The sequence below is a fragment of the Homo sapiens genome, chromosome 11 (genome assembly GCF_000001405.40).
Source record: "Homo sapiens chromosome 11, GRCh38.p14 Primary Assembly".
Lineage (NCBI taxonomy): Eukaryota > Metazoa > Chordata > Mammalia > Primates > Hominidae > Homo > Homo sapiens.
Window position 1 is genome coordinate 8565364 of NC_000011.10, and position 27033 is coordinate 8592396.

Consider the following 27033-nt stretch of genomic DNA (forward strand, 5'->3'; position numbering starts at 1 on the left):
TTCCCATTGGATATAAGCCTATGGCCATCTCTACATTGCAGGCAGCATAAAACTGGGGCAAAAAAAGAAATACCTTCTGCATCCGATAACAGAGTTTCACAGCCGGAGTCATAAGCCCCGAGTTCAAATATCAGTTCTGCCATTTACAAGTTCTACGACTGAAGGCAAGTTATTGAAACTCATTCAGCCTCAGTCATCTTGTCTGTGAAAAGGGATTAGAACCTACCTCACAAGATTATGATAAGGAGAAAAAGAGATAATGTACATAAAGCTCTTAGCACAGTGCCTGGCACATAAATAAGTACACAGTAAGGGATAGGTACCATTAGAAATCATTAACTCTCACCTTCACGTTCATTTGTTCGTCTCTGCTGCCTCTGAAGACTTCTTAGGTCTTAGATGCACCTTGCTTACCTAGAACCCAAATATCCTGTCTGCTTCTGCCTATCTCTAGCTACAGGACTCCCTCGTTCCTCCACCAACAATCCCCTGGGTTAAGTTATTACCCATCCAAACTTACAAACTCTGCCGACCCATCCCTCCTGTGTAACTTCCCTCCCTGTCCTGGCCTGTTCCGCATGTTGCCATTCATTTCCAGTGTGACAAATCTGAAGTCAAGTCAGATTGTTTCAGTTAGTTTGAAGGCTGCCTAAAAGGCTTTATTTAACCTACAGAAGCCAAAATCATTATTTACATATAAATAACATCATTGGTCAACTGATTAATAACTTTATACTCAGGACCATGCTAGACTCTCCAACTATATTTAATCCTTCCAAGTTAAGACTCTAGTTAATTAATTATATTTTATCCTTCCAAAATATGACTGCATTTACAAGCAAAGAAGTTACCTCAAAATGCAGCTTCTAAATAGACCCTCAGTTTCTGCATCTTAATTCAACTCCTTGTTATCTCCAAAACGTGAGAGTTGAGAAATAAAAGCCTCTAGGCTACTTTTTAAACAATCTTAGACCCACATTGTCTTAAAATTATCAGAATATCTCTTAGTAAACACTCAATATTTTCACTATTTCATTACTCTCCAGGTATATTTTAAGTCCTTGACTAAATTAAATGAGTCAAGAAAAAGAATCTGAAGTACTAGTAACACAAAATTGGTCTAATGTTTAATGTGTGGTTCATTTAGAGGCAACAACTAAAGATCAGGGTCATTAGCCTTTCCTGTGCCAGATAGCATCTCATAGGATATCTTGACTAAATTCTGCAAACAGTCAATTGAACCAATATTGCATCTTGTAATAGTCATACATGCTTTTACTACTATAAAGATGACTTTTTATTATGTTTCCAATTCAAAATCTATTCTGCTACCCAAGTCTCTTCCACAGCATACTTCTTTAATTTAGTAAATGAAATTTTGCACTAAGAAAGCAGCAAATATTTATATTGCCAAGTGATAGACTGACCTCTAGTGGAAATTTTTTAAATTACTGAGTGAGCTTCTCAGGACTTTAATACAGTTATAACTGTCGAACCTATGACATTGTTAAAATAATGTTTAAGGCTGGGCGTGGCGGCTCATGCCTGTAATCCTAGCACTGTGGGAGGGTTTGAGACAAGCCTGGGCAACATGGTGAAACCCCAACTCTACTGAAAATACTAAAAAATTAGCTGGGGTGGTTGTGTGTGCCTGTGGTCCCAGCTACTCGGGAGGCTGAGGTGGGAGGACTGCTTGAGCCCAGGAGGTAGAGGTTGCAGTGATCCAAGATCGAGCCATTGCATTCCAGCCTGGGTGACAGAGTGAGACCCTGTCTCAAAATAATAATAATAATAACAATGTTTAAAACATTACTAATAAAATTTACTTCTTAAGTCAATTCAAGCATAGACTAGGGTTAACAGTAGAGACTCTGGTTCAGAGCTCACCTCTGCCACTTTCTAGTTATGTAACGTTTATCTGGCTCCCCATCTGTAAAATGAAAAAGTGAATATTACCTACCACATGGGGTTATCATGAAGATCAAATTAGTCAAAATATGAAACATATCTAGAACACAGTAAGGTACACAGTTCAGTGCTATAATATTATTAGTTATTACTATTTGTGGCTGCAAGAAATTATGGCTGGAGGCAAATAATAATTTCAGAGAATATAAAGAAAAACAAAAGAGTCTTTACAGGAACACATTTCTTTAGGGATTGGCTATAACAAACCAATATAGCACCAATACAGCTATTCCTCCCATTTCCCAAAATATATGAGCTATGCCTATATAAACAGAGGAACGGGGAAAATCAGAAGCACATAACTACACCTGGGTAACCTTTTGTAGGAAATACTGGGAAGTCTTTTCATTGTCCCAATATGGGCATGATGAATAACACCAGATTCTATCCTTTAAACCAAAAACAAACTAACAGCTCCAGTCCATGTGGGTCTTTCCAGGCTTTGAACTCCTTTTACATTTAGCACCTAGCTACACACTAAATTAGTCATCAGTCTCAGATTATCTGAGTCATACAATGTAGCACTTTTCTATAATTAACTTATTCTTTGGGCTTATATTACAAGATTCTGAACTTTTAAAAACAATATTCAACGGCTTCTACAGCAATATATCTGACTAATGACTAAAAAATGCCTCCCTACAAAGTTAATAATATAGTCTCCACCTCTTTTTCCAAGGAAAATCCAAATCAGCAATTATTTTCAGCTTACAGGAATGTGCATAAAATTGAAAGATGGTCTATAATTCCAAGGTACTTCCTTAGTACAAAATAATTGCCATCCAGAGAAAAATAGCTTGTTTTTATCATAAAACAATATGATCACTAAATAAAATACAGTTCTTAGTTCCTTCCATCACAGTCCTGAAGTACCCAAATTCATTTTAGTAATTCACATTTTCTATTCTGGGAACACTCCAAGTTGCAATTCAGTTATTCAATGTAAACATGAACTCATTAAAATGGCATAAAAGTTCCTCCAAAGTATTATTCATAACATTTACATGTATTTACTACAAGAGACTAAAAAGAACTGATTTATGTAACTGGGATCATAAATCGTGGATAATGAATTATATATGTAAAACCACAACTCAAAAACAATTACAAAAATGAATACCACAGTATGGTCAGACAACTTCTAGAAAGCATCAGACATATTGTAACATAATTCGCTCTGCTATTAAAAGTCATCAATAAGTGTGGTGCTATTAAAGCATGTATTTCAAGATAACAGCAAAAATTAGACGTTTGAAGTTTTTTGAAAGCTTGAGTTTATCTGGAAATATAAAAGCAAGAAAGCTATTTATTATAGTATTTGATACTTCACTAAGTACAGTTCCATAAAACTGTGGCCCTGAACATTTCCCTAATAACTGTCTAGGAAATATAATGCAGCAGAAGGAAGATTGATTCTGATACTACAGAGAAAAAGTCTTATTCCCTTACATATCCTTTGTAGACAGACCTTAATGGATTATGTGCTATATTACCTTCTTATTTTTCTTGTACTAAAGCAACATTTATATTATTAAGATTGGAACAGTAACAATTCAGTTCCACCAAAGACACTAAAGATGACAAGGAAACTATGTACCTAGGCAAAGACCTAAGGAAAAGTATGTATAGTATAAATTTCCTTTTTAGGAGTTATAAGACATAGACATTCAAATAGAATAAAGCCCAGTGCTCCCAAGGAATATTATCTGGAGAAGGTCCCCAAAATGACTTCTTAAAAACATCACAAGGCATGAATTTACCAAGGTTTATTCTATGATTCTCAATCTGGCTGCACAGTTTATAGAAATTGGCAAAGTGATACTAGCATGCATCAGTAAAGGCAAAGGTCCCAGAAAAGCCAGAACAATCTTGAAAAATAACAAAATTGGAAGACTCACACTACCTTGTTTTAAGACTCACTATCAAGCCACAGTAATCAAGACACTTTGGTATTGGTATAAGAATAGACAAATCAATGAAAACAGAAGTCAACTGATTTTTGACAAGGCTGGCAAAGCAATTCAACAACACAAGAAAAGTCTTCAACAAATGGTGCTGAAACAGCTGTATATCCATAAGGGAAAAAAGAAACTGAACTTCAACTCCTATCTCACACCACCCACAGACATTAACTTGAAATAGATCATACACACAAATGCAAAAGCTAAAACTAAAAACTTCTAGAAGAAAACACAGAATGTTTTTATGACTTTCAGGTAAGTTAAAGATTTCTTAGAAAGAACACAGAAAACATTAGCCATAAGAGAAAAACTGATAAATTAGACTTCATCAAAATGTAAGACTTCTACTCCTCAAAAGACACCATTAAGAAAATCAATAGGTGGCCAGGAATGGTGGCTCACACTGGTAACCCCAGCACTTTGGGAGGCCAAGGCAGGCAGATCACTTGAGCCCAGGAATTCAAGACTACCCTAGGCAACATGGCAAAACCCCATCTCTACAAAAAATACAAAAATTAGCCAGGCATGGTGGCACACTCCTGTGGTCTCAGCTACTCGGGAGGCTGAGATGGGAGAATCACTTGAGCCCAAGGCTACAGTGAGCCGTAATTGTGCCACTGCACTCCAGCCTGGGCAACAGAGTGAGACCCTGTCTCAAAAAAATAAATAAATAGATAAATAAAAGAAAACGAATAGGCAAGCCACGGACTGGGAGAAAATATTCACAATACATATATCTAAAAAAAACTTGTATCCAAAATTAGAATTCCTACAACTCAAAAATAAAAAGACAACCTGTTTTCAAAAAAATAGGCAAAAGAACAGATACTTTATAAAGGATATATGAGTGTTCAATTAATAGATAAAATTTTCAAAAAATTATTAATCATTAGATAAATGTAAGTTAAAACCACAATGAGACATCCCTACACATCGTCCAGAAAGATTAAAGTTTAAAAGACTGACAAAACCAAATATTAGGGAAGGATGTAAGGTTCTTGCAACAAGAACCCTCATTTGTTGATGGCGGGAATGTAAAATGATAAAACCACTTTGGAAAACAGCTTTTCTATAAGGTAAACATGTAATCTATCCTATGAATGAATAACTCCAATCTTAGGTAATCACCAAAGAAAAATAAATACATATGTCTACAAAAAGCCTTATCCAAATATATAACAGCTTTGTTTGTAGTAGTCAAAAACTAGAAACAACCCAAATGAATGTCCAACAACATGTGAATGGATAAATCGATGGTGGTATACCCACACAATGCAACACCACTCAGCAATAAAAATGAGTAAGTTATGGGTGCACACACGTAGTACTGTATGATTCCATTTACATAGAAAATGCAAACTAATCTACAGTGACAGAAAAGCATTCAGAGGTTACCTGAGAATGCAGAGGAGGGCCGAGAGAGGCAGGATGGAGACATTAAAACGGACATAAGGGAATTTTGGGGGGGTGATGGATATGTTCACTATCTTCATTGTCTGGCAGTTTCATGGATGTGCACATATATAAAAATCAAATTGTACACTTTAAGCATAGGTAGTTTATTGCATGGCAATTACATCTCAGTAAAAGCTGTTACACACACACACAGACACAGAGGACAGTTCTGCTTCTGATCAAGATAGAGTAACGGGGGACAGATCTCACCCTTCTGCCATAAACTGCTAGAAAACTGGACAAAATACATGATACAATGGTTTTTGGACCATCACACAAGACACAGCACTGTAATACCTGGGAGAGGGAAAGCAAACATGATGAGTTCCATGATTGCACCAGTTTAACACATAGAAGCAGTTTCCAGAATGCAGCAAATTCCCCAAAAGCCCAGCAGTTTAGCTTAGTTGAGGGTAAGAGCTGCACAAAAGACAGCTTCCGAAATCTGCAGGAGCATGCACATGAGTCTCGGCTAAGAGCTGATACAAGCATATGTGAGGCCAAAACTACCTAAGTTGGAAAAACCTTGAAAACAGCACGCTAACTAGAATAAGCCAGATACAAAAGAACAAACATTGTATGATTCCACTTATATGAAATATCTAGAATAAGCAAATTCATAGAGATGGAAAGTAAATTCAAGTTTACTAGGGATAGGCGAGGGGAGAATAAGGAGTTACTAGTAAAGTTTAAGAGTTTCTGTTTGGGGTGATAAAAATGTTTTGGAAATAGTGATGATGGTTATAACAAATTGTGAATGTAATTACTGTCACTTAATTATACACTTAAAAATGGTTAAAATGGGGCCAGGCATGGTGGCTCACGCCTGTAATCCCAACACTTTGGGAGGCTGAGGCGGGTGGATCACGAGGTCAGGAGATCGAGACCATCCTGGCTAACACGGTGAAACCTTGTTTCTACTAAAAATACAAAAAATTAGCCAGGCGTGGTGGCGGGTGCCTGTAGTCCCAGCTACTCAGCAGGCTGAGGCAGGAGAATGGTGTGAACCCGGGAGGCGGAGCTTGCAGTGACCCAAGATCGCGCCACTGCACTCCAGCCTGGGCGACAGAGCGAGACCCAGTCTCAAAAAAAAAAAAAGGTTAAAATGTCAATTTTATATGTATTTTACCACAATAAAAAAAAAATTTTAAAAAAATTTAAATTAAAATTAAATTTTAATTTTAAAAAATTTAAATTAAAATTAAATTTTAATTTTAAAAAATTTAAATTAAAATTAAATTTTAATTTTAAAAAATTTAAATTAAAATTAAATTTTAATTTTAAAAAATAAATTAATTAATTAATTAATTTTAAAATTAAAAATTAATTTTAAAAAAACTATCCAAGGCTCGTGTTGGGGGTGGGAGAGGAAGGAAAACAGCCTTGCAAGAAAAAGACAGAACAACGCCCAGATCTCATACAGGATTTGGGAACAATTCCTATTCCTGCCAGACAGAGAGGAAAGATATCTTAATACACAGGGCAGCAAGTAGAATTTTCAGAAGGGTTTCATCTTGACAACAGAGATAAATTATCCCTAGACTAAAGACTGCTCCAGACCTGCCCTACTTAAGCTTAAAAGCAAGTCTCAAAAGGCTTCATCTGATTTCAAGCAACTTAACTGCATGCCAGAACAAAGCGAACACTATTTAAAGAAGTCACCTAAATCCATAATGTCTTGCAACCAGTTAAAAGTTAATGGGCATATAAAATCTGCGAAAATATGCCCCAGAAATGATACAACTAGCAGACAAGAATCATATAAATATGTTCTACATGTCTAACAGGGTAGAGAAATACATAAACATGATGAGAAAAATGAAAGATTTTTTATTTATTTTATTTTATTTTTTTAGAAATAGGGTCTCACTGCGTTCCCCAGGCTGGTCTCGAACTCCTGGCCTCAAGCAATCCTCCAACCTCAGCCTCTGAAGTCACTGTGATTACAGGCGTGAGTCACCATGCCTGGTGCCTGAAAGATATATTTTAAATGACCCAAATGGAACCTCTACAGATGAAAAATACAATACCTAAAATGAAAAATGCAATAGATAGAATTAACAGCAGATCAGATACTGCCGAAGAAAAAAATCAGTAAAGGCATAGTAATAGGAACTATCCAAAATAAAAGATTAAAAAAATGCTCAAGGAAAAAATGAACAGAGCCTCAATGACCTGTGAGAGAGTATTAAGCATTCTTAATACTTTTTTTTTCTGCTTTCCAAAAGCAGAAAAAAGAGGTGAAGTATTTCTAAACATGACAAAAACTACCAACCTACAGATCCAAGAAGTTCAACAAACACCAAAGCTCATTCAAAACAAAACAGATAAAAAGGAAAAATTGTTAAGCTGGACTTCATCAAAATTTAAAACTTTTTCTCTGCAAAAGATCCTGTTAATTATTAAAAAGACAATTACAGGCTGAGAAAAATGACTGCAAATCACATATCTGACAAAGAATTTGTATCTAAAACATACAAAGAATGTCTAAAACTCAACCTTAAAAAATTCATTTAGAAGATGGGCAAAATACATGAATAGACTTTTCACAGAAGAAGATACACAATGGCAAATAAGCCCATGAAAAGATGACCAACATCATTAGGCTTTGGGGAAATGTGAATTAATATCGCAATGAAGTATCATCAATCAGAAAGGCTAAAATAAAAAATAGTAGCAATACCAAATGCTGGTGATGATATGGAGAAAACAGATCACTCCTACACTGTTGGTGGGCATGTACAATAGTACAGCCACTCTGGAAATTAGCTTGGCAGTTTATTTTAAAACTAAAATTGACTTATTACATGACCCAGTCGTTGTACTCTTGGGCATTTATCCCAAAGAAATGATAACTTATGTTCACACAGAAACTTGTACACAAACGTTCATAGCAGCTTTATCAGTAACCGTCAAAAACTGGAAACTATTCAAATGTCCTTCAGCAGGTGAATGGTTAAACAAACTGTAGCACATCCATACTAAGGACTATTACTTAGCAATAAAAAGGAATATGCAACAGACTTTGATGAACCTCAAGGGAATTATGCTGAGTGAAAAAAGCCAATCTCAAAAGGTTACATACTGTATGATTCCATTTATATAACATTCTTGAAATAACAAAATTATAGAAATGAATCTGTTTCCAGGGGTTACAGATAGGAGAGGGGTAGGTATGAGTATAAAGGAAGGAGTAGACAAGGGAGACTCAGGGTGATGATGCAGTTCTGTATCTTGATTACAGTGATGGTTACACAAAGTTCGTGGTTACACAAGACCTGCCTTGAAGTTGCCCATGGACCCCAACACCACATGCTGGAGTGTTGCCAGTCCCTCAGTGGCCCCTCTCCCTCCCTCCCTATCCCCACTCACCCCAGAGGAAGTGGACACTTAGAGATGGAGCTAATATGAGCTTCAGGCATAAAATTGCATACAACTATATACACGCATACACAAATGAGTAAATATACAACTGTAGAGGTCTGAATAAGCTTTGTGGACTGTGTCAACCTTGATTCCTAGTATGATACTATACTACAGTTATGCAAGATATTAATATTGAGGGAGGATGGTTGAAGCGTGCTCAGAGTCTCCCTGTGTATTTATTTGAAACATTTTGTAAATCTGTAATTATTTCAAATTAAAAGTTAAAAGAAAGAAAAAAGATAATCAGAATAGCCATAAATACTTTTTCTTTTTAAAATAACTATAAATAGTAAAGAAATTAAATTCTTAGTTAAAACTTTTCAACCAAGAAAACTCTAGACCCATATAGCCTTGCTAGTGAATTCTATCAAACATTTAAAGAAGAAATAATACCAATTCTATACAAATTCATCCAGAAAATAAAAAAGGAACATTTCCCAATAACATTACCATGTTACCAAAACCAAACAAAGACACTGCAAGTACATATAACTACAGACCAATATCCTTCATGAACCTAGAAGCAAAAATTCTTAAGAAAATGTTAGCAAACTAAATCCTCTAATATATAAAAGGATAATGAGGCTAGGCATGGTGGCTCATGCCTGTAATCCCAACACTTTGGGGTGCCAGGCCAGGAGAATTGCCTGAAGCCAGGAGTTCAAGACCAGCCTGAGCAACATAATGAGGCCCCATCTCTACAAAAAAAGGAAAAAAAAAAAATAGCCAAGTCTGGTGGCATGCACCTGTAGTCCCAGCTACAAAGGAGGCTGAGGCAGGAGGATCACTTGAGCCCAGGAGTTTGAAGCTACACTGAACTATAATTGCGCAACTGCACTCCAGTCTGGCAAGGGAGCAAGACCCTGTCTCAAAAAAAGGGGGAAGGGAAAGGATAATGAAATTGCTTTAATTTTTTGTGAAAATGACAAGTGTTGGTGAGGATGTGGAAAAACTGGAACCCTCATACATTGCTGCTGGGAATTTAAAATGGTGTAGCTGCTGTGAAAAACAGTTTGGTGGCTTCGCAAAGAGCTAAACATAAAATTACCACATGACCAGCAATTCTACTCCTAGGTATACATGCAAAGGAACTGAAAGCAGGGCCTCAAACAGATACCTGTACAGCAACAGTCACTCACTGCAGCATTATTTACAATAGCCAATAGACACAAACAACCCAAGTGTCCATCAACAGATGAACAGATAAACAAACTGTGGTATACGGACACAAGGGACTATTATCCAGCCACAAAAGGGAACAAGCTCTGATACAACATGGATGAACCATGAAAACACTATGCTCAATGAAATAAGTCAGACACAAAATGACAAATATTGTATAATTCTATTTATATGAAATAGCTAAAATAGGCAAATTCGTGGAGACAGACAGTAGATTAGAGGTTATCAGGGGCTGGGGGAAGAGAGAAGAATGGGGTGCTTAATGCTATAGAGTTTCTGTTTGGGGTGTTGAAAATTTTTGGAAGTAGTGGATAACCAGCTAATGCCACTGAATTGTATACTTAAAATGGCTGCAATGGCAAATTTTATTTCATATATATGTATATATCACCACAATAAAAAAGAGGATAACAGATCACGACCAAGTAGGGTTCATCCTAAAAATGTATGGTTGGGTTAACGTTTGAAAATCAATCTAACTTACCATAGTAACAGACTAAAAAAGAAAAACTATATGATCATCTCAATAGATGCAGGCTGAGAAGACTGGGAGAGACTAAATCATGGAGTACCTTACAAGTCTTAACAAGCTTATACTGTATTCTAAAGACTACAGATTCCTCACCAAGGGATATTAAGAGGGAGATATTAAGAAGACTAACTCAATCTAGTTAGCGAATCAACAACCGACATTTGTAAATGGTAGAGAAAATGTTTACAGGATGCTGTGCCAGAGGGCAGCAAACAGAAACTGGGCATCTGAGATGGGGAAAATGAAGAGAGACTTCTAAAAAGAGGACTGAATGGGGAGTTGAAAACAAACAGCAGAACTTTCCTAATCCTCATGACTCTCTCACCACCGCCACTGCACCCATGTCTGGGAAATGCGTTATTAGTGATCATACTTTGCATGGACAAGAAAGAACAGTTCAGGTTCCAAGGTGACCTCCCTCATTCAAAACACGAATTACAACCAACATTCAAGTCAGTGTGTTCTTAGGCCTTTAAGACTTCATTTCCTTTTGGAACTTTCCAAACTATTTGATGTTCATGAAACCATCTAATGTAATAAGAAGAAATAAATAAACCTGAAATCTATTTTCAGATTGTAGATAAAATTTTTATAATGTATTACTATCTATCTGGCTATAAATATATGCCACAAATTTCATCACTTCAAATGCTTAATGTGTGAATATAACAGATATTAACTTTCTCATACTGAATAATAATAGCTAACATTTATTAAATACCTTTTTTGTGCCAGTAACTGGCTTAAGTACTTTGGGAATATTGTCTCACTTAATTCTTGTAACAACTCCATAAGATAAGTTCTACTACTATTCCCACTTTACAGATCATGAAACAAGACACAGAGAGGTTCGGTAATTTGCACAAGGCCACACAGCTAATAAATGACAGAGACAGGCTTCAAAACCAGAAATCTGCTAACATGCCAAACTCCTAACAACAATGCTATAAAATGAAGCAAGTGACAGATGTTCCAGAGTTTCATCAATTCACAAAAGACTACTGGATGACTTTAAAAAACCTTGAATAAGACATGAAAGAATTGCTCTACTTCCCCGGGATTTAATGTTCCATACAATAAATAAATTATATGCTATAAGTGATCCTCCTGTCTTAGCCTCCCAACGTGCTGGGACTACAGGCATGAGTCACCATGTCCTGCCAGGAAGATTCATTTAGAAGAAAATTTGGGAGGATAGGAGCCCTGAAATGTGTCTAGTAAATAGTTAGCAGAGGGTACTATGGTATCTAACATGATACAACTATCAAAATATGGCAGTATCACTCTTTTACATTCAATTATGTCTCAAACACAATACAAATAAGCTAAAAAGCTATATTTCTGGATAAAAGATTTTAAAATCTTCAATAATCATAGTGACTTTAGACTGTACTCCAGAGTTCATTAACTATGGATTCTAAGAAACAAAAAATAGCAGAAGGAAAAATCAAAGATATTTCAAGAATTCATTAATAAATCAGAATATTAGGAGAACAAACAAAACTAAGTCTTAACTCAAATTTCAAAAGCCTAGATGATTTTTCATACACTTTGCTTATTATTTAGTATTTATGCTACATGCTATAAGCAGAATAATCTTAGATATGTTTTTTGATTCTGCCATGTCACCTTCCTTGAGCTTGTTTATCTGGGTATATAAATATATTATTTTTCTTTACTATACATATTCTTTTTAAAAACTCTAGAATCACTCCTGGACATAGTAATTACTTACTCAGTAACAGGAAAAATGCAAAGTACTGTGTAATATTAACATTTATTTTCATATTCACCTTATATTCTACCAATGCAGAAGCTATGAAGGTGTAAGTATACATGCCATTTATACTCTATCCTATCTTACTGCTCTGCAGTTCTTTATACACAAGCTTACTTTGGCTCTCTTCAATTTATACATAAATATTTAAAACCTCCTTTTGCCCATTTTCTGGATATACTCAATGGTAACAGAGCCATTGTAAGCATTTTTATATGGTAACTTTCCTGAGCAAGAATCATACCATAACCCTAATAAAGGTCAAATGCAACAGTGCCTCTCCAGGGAAGTTCTTCCATGCAGCAGTGAGTCATTTTTTCTTTAGGAATGAAAGTTTCACTCTGGTGAGTAAATGTCTGCTCATATGCAGACATCTCTCACTACAAGTCAGTCAACTATGCCATAATCTTCTCTTTTCTCATTTTGAAATCTACCAACCCATACATATATATACGATTACAGTGCCTGATATGGAGCTCTGCTAATAGGAAAGCACTTACTTATTTATGATTTATCACACATTTGTACTGGGAAGAAAAACCTTCTGTATTAGTGAATTTCACCATGCCGACAGTAATCTCCTAGTTTCTTGTTTAACACATACAGTGAATTTACACATGTACAAAATAACATAAATTAAAAGTTACTTTTTACAGCATCACTTGTAATAGCAAAATACTGGAAAACATTCAAATACCCTTCAATAGGGAACTATTTAAGTAAGTTGTGGTACATCCATTCAGTGGAATACTATGCAGCAATTTAAAAAATGAAGAGGGTTTTCTTCAACTGCAACAATATCTAAGATATTTTTAGGCAAAAAATCAAGGTGCAACATAGCAACTACAGTATACTACCACTTGTATAAAATAAGGGTAACATTTTATTTATATATAATATACTATATGTATACCACATATGTACATTTTTGTACGTGTAATTCACACACACACACACATCTCTGAAAGCATACTCAATTGTTACTTGGCTCCAGGGAAATTAAATGGGTATCAAGGCCACAGAGACAACAGGAAGACTATTTTACTATATACTCTTCTTTTTTAAAATTATATACCAAGTCCAACTATTATCTATCTAAAAACTAATTAAACTTTAAAAGAATATATAGGGTAATAATTATATGCAGAGGCTCTATTGGATAAGAAAATCTGGGTTTAAGTCCCCATTCTTCCATTAACCAGTGGTGTGTAACCTTAGGCAAGTTCTCCAAGCCCCAGTTTCCTCATCTGTAAAATGGAAGTAATGATAGTTACTGTGAGAATGAAAAACAATCAGGTATATAAAACAATTATCAGAGTACCTGGCAATTATTATTATTTAGTGTTATCTTTTAAATGGTACTGCAGACTTGGAAATCACCAAGTTATAGTCATCACCAATTCCTTTTTCTTTTTTCTTATTCTGAATGAAAAAATTTTGCTAGTTCTTTTAAAATGTGTGGCATTCAATCATTTCTGTCCATTTTATAGCCACTAGAGATTGGCCCAGACCCTGAAGAATCAGTTAGAGTAGGGATTTTGTGAGCAATTAGGAACCATCATACATTTGGTATAGGTTTTTTATTAAATCTAAACCTTTCAGTGGAGCCCTTATTGCCACTATATATAGGCATATCTACAGAGTCTCTACCACACTAAATACCAAATGAAATGCCACCAATTTATACTTGTATCCCTATTTTAACAATTATAAGGTACTTTCAAATACTTTAGTTCAATTCCTAGAATAAGAATCTCAGAAATGGAAGATCCTTTAAAATACAATGCAATTTTTTTCAACAATGATGAGGGAATCAGAGCATATATTTTTATCTCTCTTGTAGATGAATATTTTTAATTTAAGAGCAACCTGTTAAATATGAATTTAAATTATATTAAATAATGAAATAAATAAATGAAATGAAAGCCAAAGAAGAGAAGCGACTTGCCAAAGACTCACATGCTTTACAAGAGAAAAAAAAGGCTGCCTAGCATTCACATGTTCTCATTTTACTGCTCATTTCGTTCACATTCTTACAAGGAAGTCATCAAGTATGCTACTTTCCCTCACCTAAAAGGCTCTTACTTATACAACCTAAAACCCCGTTTACATCTAATAATCTGATTTTTAAAATGGGCAAAAGATTTGAATAGACACTTCTCAAAAGAAGACATACAAATGGCAAACGGGTATATAAAAAGGTGTTCAACATCACTGATCATCAGAGAAATGTAAATCAAACTACAATGAGACATCATCTCATCCCAGTTTAAACGGCTTTTATCCAAAAGACAGGCAATAACAAATGCTAGAGGAGATGTGGAGAAAAGGGAACCTTCATACACTGTTTTTGGGATGTAAATTAGTACAACCACTATGGAGAACAGTTTGGAGGTTCCTCAGAAAACTGAAAACAGAGCTACCATATGATCCAGCAATCCCACTGTGGGGTATATACACAAAAGAAAGGAAATCAGTATATGGAAGAAATATTTGCAATCCCATGTTTGCTGCAGTACTATTCACAATAGCCAAGATTTGGGGGCAACCTAAGTGTCCATCAATAGATAAATGGATAAAGAAAATGTGGTACATATACACAATGGAGTACTATTCAGCCATAAAAAAGAATGAGATCCAGTCATTTGCAACAACATGGATGGAACTGGAGGTCATTATGTTAAACGAAATGAGCCAGGCACAGAAAGAAAAACATCAAATGTTCTCACTATTCGTGGGATCTAAAAATCAAAACAATTAAATTGATTTTTAGATGGTTTTAGAAAGGATGGTTACTAGAGGCTGGGAAGGAGAATGGAGGGAGGGGGAAGGGGGAGGGGGATGGTTAATGGGTACAAAGAAATAGAACAAATGAATAAGACCTAGTATTTGATAGCACAACAGGATGACTATAGTCAAATAATTTAATTGTACATTTTTAAATAACTTAAAGAGTATAAATGGATTATTTGTAACACAAAGGATAAATGTTTAAGGGCACAGATACCCCATTTTCCATGATGTGATTACTATGCATTGCTTGCCTATATCAAAGTATCTCATGTATCCTATAAATATACATACCTACCATGTACCCACAGAAATTAAAAACTGCAAATTGTAAAAAAAGAAAACGTTGTTCACAGAACCTATCTTGGATCTGGTAGCCATAAGTCTCTCCCCTCTGAATTCCAGCTACTACCATAGCAAACAACTTAGCACTTCATCGTGGGTTATCTGTCATCTTCATGGTGGTATTGTCTCCCCAGGTGTAAGCAATCTGGAAGCAAGTTGGTCTGGTAAAAAAAAGACATTATAATCACCACCATCTACCCTATCTCCCCCTCAGCCTATTATCCCTGACATTTCCCTCCACTTGGAAGCTCAGACTTCTCAGCCAAGCAAAGGTATCTGCCTCTTCATTCATCCCTCCCTCTAAATTCCTCCTGGGATGCCTTTTCCTTCCTTCCCATCAACTCACATTCCTCACCTTGAGCCAAACCTTAACCCAATCCCCCTCACACAGAAAGCCTTAACTCAGCCCATTTTCTTAGAAACCGATATACACAGTGTTGTACAATTTTCCTATTCACATCTCATAATATTTCTGTATATATGTTTGGAAATGTATATTTCTGCATATGAGATAACTTATCAGCCTGGGCAACATAGTGAGACCCCCATATATATAAAAAAAATAGCCAGGCATGGTGGTGCATGCCTGTGGTCCTAGCTACTCAGGAGGCTGAAGCAGGAGGATCACTTGAGTCTGGAAGGTCGAGGCTAAGCCTGAGTGAGAGAGTCACCAGGGAATTCTTCCAGCATGATGACTTTCGGTTTCACAATACCAAATCAAAGAACCTGCACTGAGCTAAGACTCATCCCAGAAAAGACTTAGGAAAAGACACCAAACACTTAGAGGGAGTCTTCTAAGTGTTTGGAAGAAAATCTGTCCTGAAAGAGAACTCTCTGTCCATGAAGGATGGGTCCATTTCAAAGAGAAGATACGTAACTTCCCCTATGTGATTAATTTATTGGCAGGATAACTTGCATCAGTTTAAAGGCATTTCATCCACAATGAGCAAAAGCTAAATGCACTAAATCTTCTTTCACGGAACGTGTATTTTTTGAACTCTTAGCGGTTTGCATTTAATGCTTTATTTTAAAATCAGATTTAATCATTTCATATAACTAGTACTTCTTCAGGAAGATGGATTTCATTTTACCTCTACATCTATTACCCCAGGTCAGAACTGCAATGAATTGTAATGCCATTTGAAACCACTAATACAGCACTCAACAATCCAGTTATTAAGTGAGTCTGAAAACACAATTTTCCAAAATGACTATAGTGCTCCCACTTCCTATTCTTAAATATCTAAGACACTAATTGAATGTCCATACTATTTTATTTATAGGTCTTTCTCAAATACTCTCACAATAAAACCACCAATTTTAATTCCTACTTCCATAAAAGCTCTTTGTTGGCTCTATTTTGAAGACTTAACAGAGCTGTATTTTTAAAAAAATCAATTTGATAAACAAAAAAACATTTTCTTATGATACTCAGAGATCTCTACAGCATATAGCTTGATATTTTTTAACAACAGGAACTAAGGACAAAACTAAAAAGTGTAATTCTCAATTATACAAAACAAATAGGTATTGTATTAGTCTGTTTTCATACGGCTATAAAGAACTGCCCAAGACTGGGTAATTTATAAAGGAAAGGGGTTTAATTGACTCACAGTTCAGCATGGCTTGGGAGGCCTCAGGAAACTTACAATCATGGCAGAAGGCAAAGGGGAAGCAGACACTTTCTTCACAAGGCAGCAGGAAGAGGGGAAGAGCCACTTATGAAACCATCAGATCTCATGAGAATTCACTCAGTCTCACGAGAACAGCATCAGGGAAACTGTCACCATGATTCAATTACCTCCACCTGGTCTCTCCCTTGATACGTGGGGATTATGGGGATTATGGGAATTACAATTCAATATGAGATTTGGGTGGGGACACAAAGCCTAATCATATCAAGTATGTATGTGTATAAGTATATATGTACATGGTATATATCCTCTTAATTATCTTTTAAAATTTTCATCCATATCACAGCCTTCTGGGCTATGGTATGTTCAGAAACATAAAACCAATGAGATAAGTCACCAAAGCAAACCCTACAGTGGAGAAGTGGCCACAACATAGCATCAGTAGTGGAGAAGCAACCACAGAATCTAGAAATTACAAAGAATATCTGAGGACATCTGGCACAGCATGAAATTTCTTTCATAGAAGATCTGATGGATACTGACATGGACATTGTTTAAAGTTTTCCAATGACTGGGAACCCATTCCTTAATTTCCTCAAGAAGCTTATTTCATTGGACACCACCAGAATGTTTTTCCTCATAATGAGCCAAAATTATCTCCTTATAAAACTTCTTACAGGTCATACGTAATTATGTCATTCTTACAGATACGTCTAGTCCTTCTTTAACAGGTTTCTGCCTTTCAGATATGAAGAAAATGATCATGTGTCCCCTTGGTCATACCTCCTAGAGGTTGTCTTTTCTACAACCCCAACACACTCACCTGTCCTTCATATCATTTAAAGGTCTTCACTATCCCAGTCCCTTCACCTTCTGGGTGAAATCCAATTTGCCAATATTTCTACTAAAAAAAAATGGCATCTAGTACTAAAAGTAAAATTCCACAAATTATTGATAACATTACTCATGAGAAAGCAGATATGTAGGAAAGGATCAAACTCAAGAACCCTCTGCTTCATAGGGAGCAAGTCTTGACATGTACTATGGAAATGACTAGATGAACAGAAAATATAAATCAATGCTATCAAAGACAATGATAAGAAAGATACGGGGAGGGTGGTAAAAAATAGTGTCATCAAGTTATTCATTCTGAAAGAAGTTAACCCCCCTATATGCTAGTCCACAGCCTAAATTATCTGAAATAATGATAATGTGGGTGTAATATGACCAAAACTTTCTAAATTTACAATAAGCATAGTTATATAGAGAATAATCATATCCTCTGAAATAAGTTACTTTTAATCTCATCTAAAGAATCAAATAAAATAAAAAACACTAGATGTAATTAAGACTGTTTAGTTTCCCTGGAGATTACAGCAATCAGACATTTTAAGTATTCTAAGAATGAAACATTTGAGACAATTAAGGAAATCCTATTGAAAAAAATTAGTCTGTAAAACAGAGATAATATGGGACTAAGGAATGGCTTATTAATAACATTCAATTCTGAGTATAACGAATACAGCTATTACAATTTCAATTCACTAGTGGCTGAGCTCAAAAAGCTAAAATGCTGCCACTCAATCTGCCTCAAGGATCCAGATCTAATCAGTACAGTCACTGCCTGTTACATTTATTGAATCGCAGAATGATTTTAGGCTGAAAGGAATTTAGATGAAAAAAAAAAAAAAAAAGAAAGAAAACAAAGCTAGTAAATGGTAGGGCCAGAACCTAAGACCAAAATCTGGGACTTTGCTATACTTGGAACAACTCTCCAAATACTTGCAAATAGCTATCATACCCTCCCTTCCCACCTCTAACCAATCTTCTTTCAAGGCCGGGTCCTTCAATGATTCATAATGTAGGGAGGATTCCAGAACAAAGTCCTACATAAGTGACCTCTGGAACTTCATACATATTCCTTCATGTCTGAAGTGCCAGCCTGGACTGTGTCTTGAGAGAATGAATACTGTTAACTGGATACATTAAGGATGGCTGCTCAACAAGACTAGAACTCCTGAGCTGCTGGGCCACTCCTCAACTTTCAGTTATTAATAACACAAATAAGGCAGGGCAAGAGAGGCCTGAGAGACACAGCCTTGGAGCAAGCCAATCAGTGAGAGACTATGGGCAATGATCAGAGCAAGACTATGATAATGCCAACGTCAGCAACACCAGAGGATAAACCTCTGGTTTAGGCGCCTTCCTCCTTATGCCTGGCCCTTCTCCAACAGCTCTCTCTCTACTAGGTCTCAGCCATCCAATAGGAAAGGTCTTTTCTGTTACCAAGTGCCAGGGCAAACAGGAGATAGACCCTTTCAGACAAAGCATACAGCCACAGAGGGAGCTCTCCATGAAGTGAAAGGTCATAACCCTAAGGTAAACAGGCAGTTAATCTAGACAGGATGCTATATGAAGACAATGAGGAAGGCAAAATCCCAAAATAGCAGATTCTTAGAGAAAATGCTACAGACAAAAGACAAAGAAAATGATTTTTTTTTTTTTTTTTGAGATGGAGTATCACTGTCCCCCAGGCTGGAGTGCAGTGGTGCGATCTCAGCTGACTGCAACCCCCGCCTCCTGGGTTCAAGTAATTCTCCTGCCTCAGCCTCCCAAAGAGCTGGGATTACACGCATGCACCACCAAGCTCTGCCAATTTTTGTATTTTTATTAGGGACGAGGTTTCACCATGTTGGCCAGGCTGGTCTCAAACTCCTGACTTCAGGTGATCCACCTGCCGTGGCCTTCCAAAATGCTGGGATTACAGGTGTGAGCCACTGCACCCAGCATTTTTTTTTTTTTTTTTTTTGAGACGGAGTCTCACTCTGTCACCCAGGCTGGAGTGCAGTGGCGCAATCTCGGCTCACTACAACCTCTGCCTCCCAGGTTCAAGCAATTCTCCTGCCTCAACCTCCTGAGTAGCTGGGACTACAGGCGCCCACTACTACACCCGGCTAATTTTTGTATTTTTAGTAGAGATGCAGTTTCCCCATGTTGGCCAGGCTGGTCTCGAACTCCTGACTTCAGGTGATCCACCCGCCTCAGCCTCCCAAAGTGCTGGGATTACAGGCATGAGCCACCGCGCCCAGCCAAAAATGATTTTTTTAAGCTAGCGTTAGAAGAAGAGCAAGTCCAAGACAGATGTTAATTAACTACAAATTGTGTTTCTGTCTTATCCAACAAAATGGACCTCAGGCAGGGCTTGGTGGCTCACGCCTGTATTCCAAGCACTTTGGGAGGCTGAGGCAGGCAGATTGCTTGAGCCCAGGAGTTCAAGACCAGCCTCAGCAACATGGCAAAAACCCTGTCTCTACAAAAAATACAAAAATTAAAAATTAGCACCAGGTGCAGTGGCTCACACCTGTAATCCCAGCACTTTGGGAGGCCAAGGCGGGCAGATCACTTGAGGTCAGGAGTTCGAGACCAGCCTGACCAACATGGTAAAACCTCGTCCTACTAAAAATACAAAATTAGCCAGGTGTGGTGGCACACACCTATCATCCCAGCTACTTGGGAGGCTGAGACAGGAGAATCGCTTGAACCTGGGAGGTGGAGTTTGCAGTGAACCAAGATTGCGCCACTGTACTCCAGCCTGGGCAACAAGAGCAAAACTCCATCTCAAAAAACAAAAAATTTAGCCAGGTGTGGCAGTGCATGCTTGTGCTCCCAGCTACTCAGGAGGCTGAGATGGGAGGATGGCTTGAGCCCAGGTGGCAAAGGCTACAGTGAGCCAAGATCGTGCCACTCCACTCTAGCCTGGTCAAGAGAGCCAGATCCTATCTCGGAAAAAAAAAAAAAAAAAAACACCTGACTTCAAATCCCAACCCAACCTGGCATAACAGGGTCTCTGTAAAATGGCATGCTAGCCTGTCCAGTCATTGTCTGCCATTATTCTTCTAGATCTCAACTTCCTCTAAGACTTACATGCTTTTCCACCTCTAGGCCTTTGAGTCTGCTGCTCCTTCTGCCTCAGCTTCCTCTTCCCTTTTGCTCATCCCTCCCTGACTTCCCCCAAGCAGACACAGAAGTGCTCTCCTCCATCTCCCTTCACACCAACCAATGTGTCTGTTATAGCACCTGCCTCAGGGGATTATAATTTATTGGCTTGGGCTGGACACAGTGGCTCACACCTGTAATCCCAGCACTTTGGGAGGCCAAGATGGGTGGATCACTTGAGGTCAGGAGTTTCAGACCAGCCTGGCCAACATGGTGAAACCCCGTCTGTACTAAAACTACAAAAATTAGCTGGGCATGTTGGCAGGCACTTGTAATCCCAGTAACTCGGGAGGCTGAGGCAGCAGAATCACTTGAATCCGGGAGGTGGAGGTTGCAGTGAGCCAAGATCACACCACTGCACTCCAGCCTGGGTGACAGAGCAAGACTCTGTCTAAAAAAAAAAAAAAAAAAAAAAAAAAAATTATTAGCTTGTTTCCCTCCACAACAGATTATGAGCTCGACATGGAGTGTATCTTTTTATCTTTGTATCCCAAAAACCTAGCATAGTATCTGGCTCATAATTTAGTAAGTGAATGACTCAAATTAGGGAAGTGAGGATGAGTGCAGTGGCAACTGCATGCCAGGCTGTGTGTCATGTGTATCTGGCATCTCTCCCTCAGTGATTTGTGACAGACAGAATGGTGTCTGATGCACAGTAGGTGATCAACAAAAACAATAAATTAAGCGAACAAACATGAAAAGAGCTATAACAGATTCAGCAAAGTATTATTTATGACATCAAGTATGAAGCTCCCTTCAAACTCTAAGACTCTATGGAGTTTTTTTAATTGCATTTATACAAATTTATTAGAAAATTTGAAAACATTTTTCAATGGGATGGGAAACTAGTATTTATTGAAGGGCTACATATTTGTTAGGCACTTTACCTATGATATTTGCTTTTCAGAATTCTGGGAAATTGTAATTATAAGCCCCATTTTATAGAAAAAGGAACCAAAGCTAGAAATGCAGGACCAAAATTTGAACCCAGGTGAGCCTGAGCTCACCAATCCTAAGCTTTTCCACACTGCACGCTTGAACCTCTGGAAAGAACACGAGGCACACCTCCCTATCATTCCACTCCAAGAAAAGGAGTTCTGAACAAGCCACGGCTCAACTGGATCACAATTCCAGAGGGAGGAGTTTTCAATGGAAGGTAAAAAAAAAAAAAAAAAAAGATGAAAAGTTCTTTCTTCCCTTGAAGATCATCATCTTTTCTTTGTGGAAAGGTTCACATGGCCCTTCCTGTTTCTCCCATGAGGCTGTAGGGAAAATCTTAAGGCCTCTTCTTGGGAAAGGGCAATCCTTCCTTTGCTCTTCCCTTTCCCCAAGGGGTCAAGCGGGAATCAGGTTACAATCCTGAAAAAAAGATGGCAAAGGGGCACCCATATGGGTCTACTTAGAGGCCTTAAGTGAGATTAGACAGGGAAGCAGCCTTGAAGCTTACATCCTCAACAGGCCAATTATCTTAGTTCAGGCTGCTCTAACAGAATACCATAGACTGGGTGGCTTAAACAACAAACATTTATTTCTCACAGTTCTGGAGGCTGAGAAGTCCAAGACCAGGACACCAGCAGATCTGATGCTTGGTGGGGGTACTCTTCCTAGTTTGCAGATGGCCATCTTCCTGCTCTGTCCTCTCATGGTAGAGAACAGAGAGCACTCTCATCTTTCCATTCCCTTATAAGGTCACTAACAGCATTCATGAGGGCTCCACCCTCATGACCTAATTATCTTTCAAATGGCCCAAAATACCAGCACACTGGGGATTTAGACCTCAACATATGAATTCTGAGGGGACACAAACATTCAATCCATAGCACTAATGCACCAAATTATATCCCTAGATGGAAATTTGGAGCCAAAGTCCTGTTAGCAATATGGAATGTTCCTTTGCCTGGAATGTCCTCTGTGTAGGATGGTGGCATGTAACTGGAGTGACAAGGAATCAGCCAAATTTTGTCTCCCCAAAACATGCCTGACGAGTTGACTTTAACAAGTGAAATGAAGTGTACAACAAACAGTCAGGACAACTGAATAGCTACACATAAAAGAATGAATCTGGACATCTACTTCAAATCATAAACAAAACTTAACTCAAAATGGATCCAAAATCTAAATATAAGAGCTAAAATTACAGAACTTTTAGAAGAAAACATAGTGGTAAATCTTTATGACCTTGTATTAGGCAATAATGTATTTTAGATATGGCACCTAAACCAAATAAAAAATATATTGAACTTCATAAAATTAAAAATTTTTGTGCTTCAAGGAACACTACCAAGGAGGTAAAAAGACAATCTACAAAATGGAAGAAAATATTTGCAAATCAAATATCTGAGAATAGTCTAATATCCGGACTACATAAAGAACTCTTACAACTGAACAAGAAAAAGACAACCCAAATTAAAAACAGACAAAATATTTGAATAGGTATTTCTCCAAAGAAGATATACAAATTGCATATCTTCATATTAACACATGAAAAGATCCTAACACCATTAGTTATCAGGAAAATGTAAATCAAAACCATAATGAGATACCACTTCACACATACTAGGATGGCTATACTCAAAAAGACAGTAACAAGTTCTAGTGAAGCTATGGAGAAATGAGAATGCTCATACATTGCCGTTGGGAATGCAAAATGGTACAGCCACTTTGGAAAACAATTTGACAGTTCCTCAAAAAGTTAAACACAGAGTTACCATACGATCAGCAATTCCACTCCTAGAGAACCCAGAAGAACTGATAATATATGTTCACACAAAAACTTGTACATGAATATTCATAGCAGCATTATTCAAAATACCAAAAAAAAAGAAAATAACCCAAATGGTCATCAACTGATGAATGGATACACAAAATGTACCATACAATGGAATTCTATTTGGTCATAAAAAGGAATAAAGTACTGATACATACTACAACAGAAATGAACTTTGAAAACATCATGCTAAGGGAAAGAAGTCAGATGCAAAAGGCCACATATTGTATAATTCCATTTATATAAAATTTCCATAACAGGCAAATCTACAGATAAAGACTGATGTTTGCCAGGGGCTCAGGGAAAGGGAGAACAAGGCATGACTGCTATTGGATGTGAGGATTCTTCCTGAGGGTGATAAAAATGTTCTGGAATTAAATAGTAGTTATGATTGCTAGTGTCACTACTATTTAACTAGTGTGCACTTTAAAAGGGTGAATTTTATGGTATGTAAATTATATCTCAATAAAAAAAGTGAGGTGCAACTATAAAAAGGAGCCAAGTTTACATATTATATGTACCATCAAAGAGATATGACAGAAAAGCAATAAAGAAGTTAACTTGAAAATCACTGCTGGATATTGGTGTTTACTTTTATAATAACAAATATGAAAAATATTGAATTTTATTGCCATAAACTGAAAACCAAAATAAAGAAGATTGAGAGAAAAATTAATTGGATTTCCATGAAAAATATCCAAGGATAAATATTTGCTTTCTTCCCAATATTTCAGCTGTTTGGAAGCTGAGCTCCTTAGAGCAAAGATAAGAGCCTCGATGTTAGATTTGCTAGCAGCAAACAAACTTGAAAGAATTCAAGTCTAAGAACCTGAGCCTCAGATGCACTGCCTTTGGTAAATGGTAAATGGATTTTCTCCCAGTGAGCTCTGTGGTAGACAAGCATTCCACCATGATAATGACAAAGTAACAGAGTAGAACTTTCAATAACCAACATCTCAACCTTGGAGACTGCATTAACATTTTACGTAAGGCTTTTTTATGAGTCTCTGAATTAATATGTGTGAGTCCAAATGGCCAGTTTTTCCAAATAATCATCAGCTCATGTTAAGAATACTGAATCACAAGCAAACTTTTTACACATACACTATAAAAGTAAACATATAATACAATATTCTAGAACTGTGCCTGGCATATGATCAGCACCCCATAAATATTTATTGAATGAATGTTTATAATAGTCAATATTGTTTACTAAATAACTTTATCAAAAATAAGGATAATAGTATTCCTAAGTGAACTTATCTTTATCAATAGAAAATTGTTTTTTCTTAATTTATTTCTAATGTAAACCACATCCTTACTGAACTTCACTGACAAGTCAATGGTTAAGAAAGATAATTAGTCCATATATGTAGAAAGGACATTCTAATTATTAAAATTACTGCCCCTCACCTTGTAAACTTTTTAAAATAAAACAACTTCAAGTCAATAAAACTGTGGGATTTGTGAGGTTAGTAATTTCTTATGCACTTACAATTTATTTTAGTTAATAAACTAAGAAAATATATATTAAAGCTTAAAAATAAGATGCCCATTCTTCACATTCTAGAGCTCTAAGATAAATCCAAACAAAACACAGTTAGCCTCACTCATATATACTGGAGTTCAGCAGGAAAGGAAATTCTTTCTGAATCGCATCTTAAGGCATACCAATTTAACAATGCCAAAAAAGTCAGCAATTAATTTTATATTGCATTTTCCATTTTGTAAGTCTCTTTTTAAAAACAGGGAAGTTATTTCTCAGTATTTAACAACTATAGGTGTTTGAAGTACTACATAGTATCATCAGATGAATAAAAGTAGAAAATAGCTCCAGAGAACACATCTTCTCTTTCAGAAGGATACTTCTTCTGTAAGTCTCTAAGGATAAGCTTCTACAACGTGTGACAGATAAGTCAATGGTTGAAACAGCCATCAGTTCAAACAACTGTCAGAGACAGCCTTCCTAAATCTCCCTTACAGCAGTATAAGCTCTTTTCTGCTCCTTGATTCAAGGACACATGAAGAAGACACGAGTACCCACCTTTGTATCATCCTCTTTTAGATTTTTTATTGGACATCACACTACTCAGCTTTCTTGTACTTATTTTCTTTACCTCTTGATTTGCTAATATTACAAAATAACATTTTTAAAGAAAATGCAGATAGGTAGCTGGTCTCTTCATGGGAAGGACTTTCTAAGCGTAAAAGCAATGGATCATAAAGGAAAAGATTAACAAGCAGACAACATAAAATTGTTTTAATTTCTATAAATCATAAGCCATCATAAATGAAAGGGCAATTGTGGGGAAGATGCCCCAAATGACGAAGGGTTAATACTCTCACTATAACAAGAGTTCACATGGTTCACTGTATGGCCAAGACAGTGCCCCCAGCATTCCCTCATCCTCCATACAGGAAACCGCAATGTCTCTGCAAAAAAAGAGGTTGCAGCTTCTCTCCTCCAGCTTTGAAAATTACCTTTGTAGGGACATGGATGAAACTGGAAACCATCATTCTCCGCAAACTATCGCAAGGACAAAAAACCAAACACTGCATATTCTCACTCATAGGTGGGAATTGAAGAATGAGAACACATGGACACAGGAAGGGAAACATCACACACCAGGGACTGTTGTGGGGTGGGGGGGAGTGGGGAGGGATAGCATTAGGAGATATACCTAATGCTAAATGACGAGTTAATGGGTGCAGCACACCAACATGGCACATGTATACATATGGAACTAACCTGCATGTTGTGCACATGTACCCTAAAACTTAAAGTATAATAATAATAAAATTAAAAAAAAAATTACTCTGCCTTTCCTTGTCTGTCTTGGTCTTTGCCTCCTACCTGGATGCTCTCTTTCTTCCAAGCCCTGTTTGACTCAAAGTTCAGAAAAACAAGCAATCAGCCCAGTCTTGATTCCAGTTTTTGCCCCAGGAAACAGACTATGAAACAGTTTTCTGCCTTGCCCTGTAGCCTGCAGGGAAGTAACAACTCGCCCCAGGCTCCAGGGATAACTTATTCAACTAATTCCAGCCAAAGCCCAGCATAGTGGTTCCTGCCTGGGCTGGGGAAGATAAAAATCAAACAATTAAACAACTGGTAAGAAAAAACTAAGACTCCAATACAAAAACCATCAAAAAGCTTTTGCTAATAGCTAACAATAAGATTTCACTTAAAACATATTAATAAT

At 36.9% G+C, this 27033-nt stretch overlaps 1 protein-coding gene across 51 annotated transcripts in view, besides 1 other annotated feature; it reads right to left on the reverse strand.

Annotated features, from left to right (window-relative positions):
• STK33 (serine/threonine kinase 33) overlaps positions 1 to 27033 on the reverse strand; it is a 259405-nt gene that overhangs the window by 230540 nt on the left and 1832 nt on the right. The window contains exon 2 of one of the 51 annotated variants that reach the window (NM_001289058.2): positions 1888 to 1930. The exons of the other annotated variants lie outside the window; for them this stretch is intronic. The gene's annotated coding sequence lies outside the window, so the exon portion shown is untranslated. The remainder of the gene's footprint in view (positions 1 to 1887; positions 1931 to 27033) is intronic. 51 annotated transcript variants of the gene reach the window in all.
• Positions 1554 to 1633: an enhancer, noted in NCBI's record as "active region_4386". NCBI's record gives its function as "activates an Ori minimal core promoter by ATAC-STARR-seq in GM12878 lymphoblastoid cells {active_cell/tissue: GM12878}" and the evidence as "EXISTENCE:reporter gene assay evidence [ECO:0000049][PMID:35858748]".